A 10,907-nucleotide genomic window follows, 5' to 3' on the forward strand; every position below is an offset into this window, starting at 1 on the left:
TTGTGAATAGTGCCACAATAAACATACGTGTTCATATGTCTTTATAGTAGCATGATTTATAATCCTGCGGGTATATACCCAGTAATGGGATTGCTGGGTAATCTAGTTCTAGATCCTTGAGGAATCGCCACACTGTCTTCCACAATGGTTGAACTAATTTACACTCCCACCAACAGTGTAAAAGCATTCCTATTTCTTCACATCCTCTCCAGCATCTGTTGTTTCTTGACTTTTTAATGATTGCCATTCTAACTGGCATGAGATGCTATCTCATTGTGGTTTTGATTTGCATTTCTCTGATGATCAGGGATGATGAGCATTTTTTCATGTGTCTGTTGGCTGCATAGATGTCTACTTTTGAGAATTGTCTGTTCATATCCTTTGCCCACTTTTTGATGGGGTTGTTTTTTTCTTGTAAATTTGTTTAAGTTCTTTGTAGATTCTGGATATTAGCCCTTTGTCAGATGGGTAGATTGCAAAAATTTTCTCCCATTCTGCAGGTTGCCTGTTCACTCTGATGGTAGTTTCTTTTGCTGTGCAGAAGCTCTTTAGTTTAATTAGATCCCGTTTGTCTATTTTTTACTGTATCTTTTCTATGGTTTTGTTGTTGTTGTTGTTGTTTTGTTTTTTTGTTTGTTTTTGAGATGAAGTCTCACTCTTGTCCCCCAGGCTGGAGTGCGCTGGTGCGATCTTGGCTCACTGCAACCTCTGCCTCCTGGGTTCAAGTGATTCTCCTGCCTTAGCCTCCTGAGTAGCTGGGATTACAGGCGCCTGCCACCATGGTCAGCTAATTTTTGTATTTTTAGTAGAGACGGGGTTTCACCATGTTGGCCAGGCTGGTCTCAAACTCCTGACCTCAGGTGATCTGCCTGACTTGGCCTCCCAAAGTGCTGGGATTACAGGCATGAGCCACCGCACCCGGCCTCTATATTTAGATATATTTGGATACGCAAATACATACCATTGTGTTCTCATTGCCTATAGTATTCAGTACAGTAACATGCTATACAGGTTTGTAGCCCAGAAGCAATAGGCCCTATTATATAGCCTAGGTGTGTAGCAGACTATACCACCTAGGTTTGTGTAAGTACACTCTATCATGTTTGCACAATGATGAAATCGCCTAATGATGCCTTTCTCAGAATGTATTCTCTTCATTAAGCAACATATGACTGTACTTAATAAATGTAACTCTTATGTGGTCTTTTTTTGGGCCAGGGGAACTGTAAAAACTTACTGAGACAATGAAGGAAGGCATTGTGAACCAAGAAATTTGGGGAACCTCTGGCCTAATCACTGCTTATCTGTATTCCATATATTCGATATGTTGTATTTTAATTATCGTTCACTTTGAAATGTTTAAAATTTTCCTTGTGATTTATTCTTTGACCTATTGTTATTTAGAAGTATGTTATTGGCCAGGTACGGTGGCTCACACCTGTAATCCCAGCACTTTGGGAGGCCGAGGCAGGTGGATCACCTGAGGTCGGGAGTTCGAGACCAGCCTGGACAACATAATGAAACTCTGTCTCTACTAAAAATATAAAAATTAGCTGCGCGTGGTAGCAGGTGCCTGTAATCCCAGCTACTTGGGAAGCTGAGGCAGGAGAATTGCTTGAACCCAGGAGGCGAAGGTTGCAGTGAGCTGAGATGGCACCATTGCATTCCAGCCTGGGCAATAAGAGTGAAACTCCATCTCAAAAAAAAAAAAAAGAAAAGAAAAGAAAATTTCTATGTCTTTGCTATTTTTTTGGATTGTTCTATCAATTACTGAGAAAAAGATATTAAAATCTTCAATGATGTTTATAGATTTGTTAGTTTTTTCATTTAATTCTATCGGTTTTTCTTTATGTATCTTGGAGTTCTGTTTTTAAGTACATACACGTCTTCCTGATGAATTAAATCTTTAATCACTGTGTAATGTCCCACTGTATCTCTGGCATACTCTGTCTTGAAGACTATATGATCATAAGATAGCCAGTCCAGCTTTTTCATGCTTATTGTTTGCAGGGTATATCTTTTTACATCTTTTTCTTTTGATCTATCTGTCTTTATATTGAAAGGTCAAATTAGTGAGGGTCTAATCAACAGACAAAAATGATACAGCAATTTGAAGTGGGAATGCTTAATATAAAGAATTATTAAATAAAACGCGATTGAAATAATGAGAGATTGGCTAGTAGTAAAGAAAACTCTAAAGAATATAGAAATAGCAGATATAAGGAGCAGCCACTGTCCTTAAGGCTGAGATAGGTTGCCCAGAGAAGAATGCCCTTCCTCTCTACTACTACCTCGCATGCCCTTCTTGCCAAGCTGAGAGCTAGACCTTGTTGAAGAGGGTGGCTCATTGAATGGCAGAGAAGCCAATGTGATGCCACATTAACAGAACTTAATGTGGCCAGGCATGGTAGCTCATGCCTGTAATCCCAACACTTTGGGAAGCCAAGGTGGGTGGATCACCTGAGCAGGAGTTCGAGACCAGCCTGGCCAACATGGTGAAAACCCATCTCTACTAAACATAGAAAAGTCAGCTGGGCATGATGGTGGGCACCTGTAATCCAGCTACTTGGGAGGTTAAGGCAGCAGAATCGTTTGAACCTGGGAGGCAGATGTTGCAGTGAGCCAAGATCACGCCACTGCACTCCATCCCGGGCGACAGAGCGAGACTCTGTTTCTAAAGAATAAATAAATAAATAAATGAACAATAAGAAAAACCCCAGAACTTGCTGGAAATCCACCCTCCAAAACTTGCCAGATACTTACTTTCTTTTCCTTTTTTTTTTTTTTTTTTCAGACGGACTCTCGCTCTGTCGCCCAGGCTGGAGTGCCGTGGCTCGATCTCGGCTCACTCCAAGCTCTGCCTCCCAGGTTCACGCCATTCTCCTGTCTCAGCTTCCTGAGTAGCTGGGACTACAGGCGCCCGCCACCACGGCCGGCTAATTTTTTGTATTTTTAGTAGAGACGGGGTTTCACCATGTTAGCCAGGATGGTCTAATCCGCCCGCCTCGGCCTCCCAAAGTGCTGGGGATTACAGGTGTGAGCCACCGCGCCCGGCCCATCCAGACACTTATTTTCTAGGGTACCAATGAAAGTCGTTAATGCGGAGTGAGTTTTGCTAGAGGTTTTTTCTGCTATGAAACTGCCTGAGAGGGTATGCAGAAGTTGCTGCCTTCTGTTTACTTCTGACTACTGTGAACTTCAGGAGCTGGGCACTATAGAAGCTGAAAGTGCCTCAGGTTATCTGCTGAGAGAGCACTACAAAACCAGGAAAGAAAATCCTTTCTTCCTGCAGTGTTTCTCTAGTGCCCTCTACTGACAAAACTTGGTATTTTGCTAGATGGCAAAGGGAAAATATCTAAAGAACCTAGCTCCATTTTTACAGGACCTGCAATGAAAGGTGAATTTGGGGCTGAGAGGCAATAAATTGGTAACTGGCACAAGTATGTCTCTTGTAGAAAGCATATAGTTGGGTCTTGTTTTTTTCATTTAGTTTGATAACCTCTGCCAAATTTTGTCCATTTAGATTTAATATAAATATCAATAGATTTGGACTTATGTCTATTTGTTTTCTGTTTGTTTCATTGGTTTGTTTTTGTTCCTCTGTTTTTCCTTTGCTGTTTTCTCTAGAGTCAGTTGGGTATTTTCTTAAAATTACATTTTTAAAATTTATTTACTTATTTTTGGAGACATTGTCTCACTCTATCACTCAGGCTGGAGTACCTTGGTGTGATAATAGCTCACTGCATCTTCAAACTCCTGGGCTCAAGGAATCCTCTTGTCTCAGCCTTCTGAGTAGCTAGGACTATAGGTGCATGCCACCATGCCTGGCTGGTTTTTTTTTTTTTTTTTTTTTTTTTTTTTTTTTTTGTAGAGATGGAGGTCTTGCTATGTTGCCCTAGCTGGTATGAACTCCTGGACCCAAGAAATCCTCTCACCTTGGCTTTTCAGTGTGTTAGAATTGCAGCTGTGAGCCACTGTGCCTGGTCCCATTTTATTTTTCGATATTGGCTTTTCTGTTATTCTTTGCACCTTTTTTTTTTTGGAGACGGACTCTCGCTCTGTCGCCCAGGCTGGAGTGCAGTGGCGCAATCTCGGCTTACTGCAAGCTCTGCCTCCTGGATTCACGCCATTCTTCTGCCTCAGCCTCCCGAGTAGCTGGGACTACAGGCACCCGCCACCACTCCTGGCTAATTTTTTTGTATTTTTAGTAGAGACGGGGTTTCACTGTGTTAGCCAGGATGGTCTCGATCTCCTGACCTTGTGATCCACCTGCCTCGGCCTCCCAAAGTGCTGGGATTACAGGCTTGAGCCACTGTGCCCGGCCCTATTCTTTGCATTTTTATTTTGAATAGTTGCTCTAGGGATTATAATATATGTCCTTAACTTTTTATAGTCTACCTGGAATTATGATACCAGTTCATATTACATATAAAAATTTTGCAACCATACAGTTTTATTTACCCCCAATCCTTTATGCCAGGGGTTGGCAAACTCTTACTGGTGAGTCAAATCTTGGCTGTATCTGCTTTTATTTTATTGCAACATAACTACACACATTCACTTATGTATTGTTTATGGCTACTTTCATGCCATGTGATGGTATAGTTGAATAGTTGTAACAGAGACCACATGGTTTACAGAGCCTAAAATATTTCCTGTCTTACTATTTACAGAAAAAGTTTGTTGACTCCTGCTTTATGCTATAGTTGTCACATGTATTATGTATGAGAATGCTGTAGCTACCACAATACTTCGTTACAATTTTGCCTTAAATAGTCATATGTATTTAAATAAAGAGAAAGAAAAGAAAAGATAATCTTTTATATTTGCCTACATATTTATTATTTCTGGTGGTCTTTTTTTTTTTTTTTTTTTTGAGATGGACTCTCATTCTGTCATCCAGGTTGAATGAAGTGTGGTGGTGTGATCATAGCTCACTGCAGCCTTGAACTCCTGGGCACAAGTGATCCTCCAAACTCAGCCTCCCAAGTGGTGGGTACCACAGGCATGCACCACCATGTCCAGCTAATTAAAAAAATTTTTTGTAGGATATGTTGTTGCTTTGTTGCCCAGTCTGGTCTTGAACTCCTAGGCTCAAGCGATCCTCCTGCCCTGGCTTCCCAAAGTGCTGGGATTACAGGTGTTAGCAACCATACCTGGCCATCTGGTAGTCTTTATTTCTCCCTGAAGAGCTGAGTTTCCATCTGGTTTCATTTTCTTCCAGCCTAAGCTTTTTCCTTTAGCATTTATTGTAGCATAGGTCTGCTGTGATGCATTCTTTTAGTTGTCATTTATCTGAAAATGGCTTTATTTTGCTTTCATTCTTAAAATATATTTTTACTCAATATAGAATTTTGGGTTGACAGTTTTTTTTAAAAAAAGATTTAAATATTACACCACTGTCTCTGGCTTCCATTGTTTTAGATGAGAAGTTGTCTATTAAAACTATCATTGTTCTCCTGTAGTAATGAGTCATTTTTCCTTGGTTGCTTTAAAGATTCTTCTCTTTATCTTTGGTTTTCAGCAGTGATATACCTAGATGTGGTTTTTATTTCTCCTGCTTGAATTTGCTGAGCTTCTTGAAACTGTAAATTTATGTTGTTCACTAGATTAGGGAAGTTTTTGGCCATCATTCCTGGACAGTTTTTTTTTTAGCTCTCTTTTCTCTTTTTGGTCATTCTGGGGTTCCAATTATATGTAGGGTAGATTGCTTGATATTGTCCTATAGGTCTCTGAGCCTTTTGTTTTCAATCTTTTTGTCTCCCTGTTTTTCAAACTAGGTAATTTCTAGTTTACTGACTCTTTCTTCTGCCATCTCAGTCTGCCCATTCAGTGGGGTTTTTATTTCGTATGTGTACTTTTTATTTATATTTTCTTTTCTTTTTTCTTTTTTTTGAGATGGAGTTTCACTCTTGTTGCTCAGGCTGGAGTGCAATGGCATGATCTCAGCTCACCACAGCCTCTGCCTCCTGAGTTCAAGCAGTTCTCCTGCCTCAGCCTCCTGAGTAGCTGGGATTATAGGCATGCACCACCATGCCCTGCTAATATTTGTATTTTTAGTAGAGATGGAGTTTCTCCATGTTGGTCAGGCTGATCTTGAACCCCTGACCTCAGGTGACCCACTTGCCTCAGCCTCCCAAAGTGCTGGGATTACAGGTATGAGCCACTGTGCCTGGCCCCCCTTTTTTTTTTTGACGGGATCTCACTCTGTCACCCATGCTGGAAGGCAATGGCGTGATCACAGCTGATTGCAGCCTCGATCTCTGGGGCTCAACTGATCCACCCACCTCAGCCTCCCTAGTAGCTGGAACTACCGGCATGTGCTACCATGCCCAGCTAATTTTTGTAGAGATGAGGTCTCACTATGTTGACCAAGCTGGCTTTGAACGCCTGGCCTCCAGCAATCCTCCTACCTTGGCCTCTCAAAGTGCTGGAATTATAGGCATGAGGCACCATGCTTGGCCTGTAATTTTAAGTTCTAGGATTTCCATGTGATTCCTTCCATTTCTTTGCTTAGCTTTTCTTCCTTTCTTTCTTTCTTTTCTTCTTCTTCTTTTCTTTTTTTTTTTTTTTTTAGAGAGGGTATCTTGCTCTGTCACCCAAGCTGGAATGCAGTGCTATATTCACAGCTCACCGTAGCCTCAGATTCCTCGGCTCAAGCAATTCTCCTGCCTCAGCCTTCCAAGTAGCTGAGACTACAGGCTTATGCCACCATGCCTGGCTAATTAAAATTTTTTTTGTAGATACAGGGTCTCACTATGTTGCCAGGCTGATCTTGAACTCCTGGCCTCAGGTGATCCTCCTTCTTTGGCCTCCTAAAGTGCTGGGATTACACGTGTCAGCCACCACTCCCAACCTTAAATTTTTAATCTGCTTATTACATGCATATTTTCCTTTATATCTTTTAATATTAGTTATAATAATTTCTTTAAAATCCTTGTCTGCTAATTCCAACATCTGGGTCATCTTACTGTTAGTCTTTCTTGATTGCAACTCACTACTGGGTTGTGAAATAAAATTAAAGGGTTGTGGTCAGCATTACAAGAGAAAATGGATGAAAAATAGAAGTGTGAAAAGTGAAGATGTTATTTTATGGAAAATTTATTTATGTATGTATATATAAACATGCATATTCTTTGTCACTGTGTAAAGTGTATTTCTTATTGTGGTTATGGTAAAAAAAATTTGAAAGCCACCAGTAGAAGACAAATGTGGAGTGGAATCTGTTTTAGAAGAAATACTTCAAATTCTTAGAGCTAGAGTTTTCCTAAGGGAAACAAATGTGTTTATGGTCTAGTGGACACTTTCATTTCAAAGGAGTAAAAGCACAGGATAGAAGCACTTGCTTGCCATTTGTCAATGCTTGGCTCTCTGCATAAGAACATCCAGGAATTTTATTAAAATATTTAAGGCTGGGCACGGTGGCACATGCCTGTAATCTCAACACTTTGGGAGGACAAGGCAGGCAGATGGCTTGAGCAGGGGCATTTATGACCAGCCTGGGTAATATGGCAAAAGCCTGTCTCTACAAAAAATACAGAAATTAGCTGGGTGTGGTGGCAGGCGCCTGTAGTCCCAGCTACTCGGGAGGCTGAGAGGTGGGAAGAACCCTTGAGTCCAGGAGGCTGAGGCTGCAGTGAGCTGAGATCACACTCCAGCCTACGTGACAGAGTGAGACTCTCTCAAACAAAACAAAACAAAACAAAACAAAACAAACATTCAAATAGTTCCTCCTGGACCAGGCTCAGAGGTCCCAAGAGCAGAGCAGGAGTAATCTGCATTTAAAAAGTTCCCCTAGGTGGTCCTTATGCAAAGGAAAGTTTGAGAACAGAGGCTTACACTACAGATTAGCATCTGAGAAAGAAGTGATAATAATGGCTACTATTCATTGAGCTTTGACTTGGATAACTGAAGCCAGAGAGGTTAAATAATCTACTTGAGGTCACATAGCTTGGAGGTAATTGGTCTGAGACTCTAACTAGGATTATCTACCTCTAAAGCCCTAATTCTGAACCACTGAATGGAGCTGAGTCTAAGACGCCAAGTCTGCAGTGAGGCAGGGAAATCACTGGCACCAGCAATGGCTTGACTGGGCTCCACTCTGTCAGCTGTGTCACCTCAGGCAGATTTTACAAGTTCTCTGGGCTTTGATTCTCTTCTCTGTAAAATGAGGGTCTAATGACTCTACTGGCTCGGGCTTGTGAGGAGTTTGGGCTGTTGCACATGTTGGGTGAGTGCTATTGGTCCTTGCATTCTGCACTTTTATCACACTCTGCCCTTTTCTCAAACTAGAGCAGTAATGAAAGGAGTGTTGGGGGACACCATAGGCCCTGTTACAGCCAGACTTGCGGGGAGGACCTTAAGGGCTAGGAGGAGTGGAGGCCAACCTTGAGAATACAGGCCAGGCTCCTGGGGTTGGTTGGTAAAAGCAGGAGAATGCAAAGGGCTTGTTTGGGCCTGGGCAGAGTTTCTGGGCTGAGTTGCCCAGGGCCTTTGTGAAGTTTCCCTGTGCCTGTGATCTTCATGAGGTCAGGGCAGTCTGCTCTCCACTTGGTTAAAGTATATTTCCAAAGCCGAGGGACTTCATTTCCTTAGTGGGATGTTTTCAGGATTTGTATTTTCAAGTGAAAAGTGTCGTAGAAGGAGGGCAAAGAATCATTTGATTACTTAATTTTCATGTTTACATAGCATTTGTTTGAAAGTAGTAAGAATCTAAATTCCAAATGCAGTTACAAAATCAGCCTCCACTTAAACTGGTAAGTGTATTTTAATGAAGTGTAATTTAAAAGCACAAATTTGCATATTGAAATTTGCCTGAGCCAACTTTTAGAGTATGATCTTCAGAGTACTGGTTTCTAGTATCCTGAGGATATGAAATTCTTTTGAATTGCTTTTCATGGCCTGGAAATGAGCTTACTTGGTATAATAAGGCTTAGCAAAATGGGGACAACCTAAATCAAACCTTCGTTATGATACAGTGCTCCTCAAGTCATTCTCAGAATGGTCTTGTGAAACTTTGGAACCCAAATGTCACCATTTTGGAATAGTAAACATATTTGTTCAACAGCTAATCTGTATTTAAATCAACTGGCAGAAGAACCTTAAAATAACATATGAGAATTTGTCAAATCAGGAATAGATGACTTTCTACTAATACATTCATGCAAAAATCAAACTTTCTACTAATACATTCATGCAAAAATCAAGCTGTATTAATACACTTATCATAAGTCCAGCAATTTCAGGACTTCTATAGTCACATAAAGCTGAAGCTGATTTGTTTATTTTAAACCTTTATTAATCGTAAAAGATAGCACACAGACAAATGCGCATGAAACACACATTTAAAGCATGACGAATAATTATAGAAGAAATATAATTACAAAAAACCATGAAAACACTGCACAGGTTAAGAAACAGAATATTGCTGTCTTTCCCAGAATCTTTTTCCGTGTGTCTCATCCTGATCACCTCCTTCTCAACCTCCCCCTCGTCCCAGGTAACTATTATCCTGATTTTTATGGTAACCATTTCCTTGCTCTTCTGTTTCTTTTTTTTGAGATGGAGTCTCCCTCTGTCCCCCAGGCTGGAGTGCAGTGGCGCGATCTCGGCTCACTGCAACCTCTGTCTCCCAGTTTCAAGTGATTTTCCTGCCTTAGCCTCCTGAGTAGCTGGGACTGCAGGCACACACCACCATGCCTGGCTAATTTTTGTATTTTTAGTAGAGGTAGAGTTTCACTATATTGGCCAGGCTGGTCTTGAACTCCTGACCTCAGGTGATCCACCTGCCTCGGCCTCCCAAAGTGCTGGGACTACAGGCATGAGCCACCATGTCCGGCCTCAAGTTGGTGTTTATAAAATTCATCCATGTTGATGAGTAGTTGTAGTTTGCTCGTGTTCACAATATATGATTGTAATATATCACAATTTATTTATCCGTTCTATTATTGATGGACATTGGATCATTTTCAGTGCTGCGAAGAACATTCTTGTGCATGTCTCCTGATGCACATCCATATGCATTTCTGTTCAGTGTCTACCTAGGAATGGAATTGCTGGATTATAGAGTTTGTGTATCTTACATTTTGGTAACTAATTCTAAACTTTTCCAAAATGATTGTAATGTGTATTTGCTCAACAGATTAAAAAAACGTGGTCACTATAGAAAAGTAAAGGTAAAATAAGTCATTCTTCGGTTTGCAGCTGTTAGTTTTAATCATTGAGAACTGTGCCCTAAGAGATGGATGTTGGGCTCAAGTAAAGTGGTCCATCTTCTTTATTGTTCCTGCTCCACACAATTCTGGTTAACTATGATAACCTGGTGGCTCCCCAGGGGAAGTACAGCACGCTTGGTAAGTAAGTACTAGTGTACTTGGTAAGATACCAGTAGATATCCAGGTGGGTGTCTTGGGGCAGGTAGGGCAAGGTCTCCAGGCTCTTTTCACAGACCTGGTGTTCCACCCAAAGAGGCCCCTTGGAGGATGACTTTTTTTGTTCCTGCCTTTTATGGAGCTGTAATCTTCTGGGGTATAATTCTTGCTCAGTGTGTGTTCTTCTCTTCCAGTGTGATGCTTTAGTTACATTTACAGTTTAAATGAGTGCCTCATTTAAATTTCCTGCCCCCAAATTATATGGCATATTGATTTGTAAATGGCTAAATCAACAATAAGTTAGGCAGGTGGTTTCCTCCTTTTTTTTTTTTTTTTTTTAGCATGATGACCTATTAAATTTTTTTAAATGATGGACTTATTTAAATATATACAAAAGAATGGTATAATGAATCCCAATGGAGCCATTTCTGAGATCTGACAGCTATCCATCCATGGGCAATCTTTTTTTTTTTTTTTTTTCTAAGACAGGGTCTGTTTCTTATCATTCAGGCTAGAGTGCAGTGGTGCTATCATGGC

General features: G+C 40.9%; 3 annotated features.

Moving 5' to 3' along the window:
* Positions 2,664-2,840: a silencer, noted in NCBI's record as "fragment chr2:172991525-172991701 (GRCh37/hg19 assembly coordinates)". NCBI's record gives its function as "represses an EF-1alpha promoter that drives an FKBP-Casp9 reporter gene in an ReSE screen in K562 erythroleukemia cells {active_cell/tissue: K562}" and the evidence as "EXISTENCE:reporter gene assay evidence [ECO:0000049][PMID:32094911]".
* Positions 7,488-8,182: an enhancer, noted in NCBI's record as "OCT4-NANOG-H3K27ac-H3K4me1 hESC enhancer chr2:172996349-172997043 (GRCh37/hg19 assembly coordinates)". NCBI's record gives its function as "activates a minimal SCP1, AML or CMV promoter by ChIP-STARR-seq in primed H9 embryonic stem cells {active_cell/tissue: H9 hESC(primed)}" and the evidence as "EXISTENCE:reporter gene assay evidence [ECO:0000049][PMID:30033119]".
* Positions 8,183-8,876: an enhancer, noted in NCBI's record as "NANOG-H3K27ac-H3K4me1 hESC enhancer chr2:172997044-172997737 (GRCh37/hg19 assembly coordinates)". NCBI's record gives its function as "activates a minimal SCP1, AML or CMV promoter by ChIP-STARR-seq in primed H9 embryonic stem cells {active_cell/tissue: H9 hESC(primed)}" and the evidence as "EXISTENCE:reporter gene assay evidence [ECO:0000049][PMID:30033119]".

Source organism: Homo sapiens, chromosome 2 (assembly GCF_000001405.40).
Source record: "Homo sapiens chromosome 2, GRCh38.p14 Primary Assembly".
NCBI lineage: Eukaryota > Metazoa > Chordata > Mammalia > Primates > Hominidae > Homo > Homo sapiens.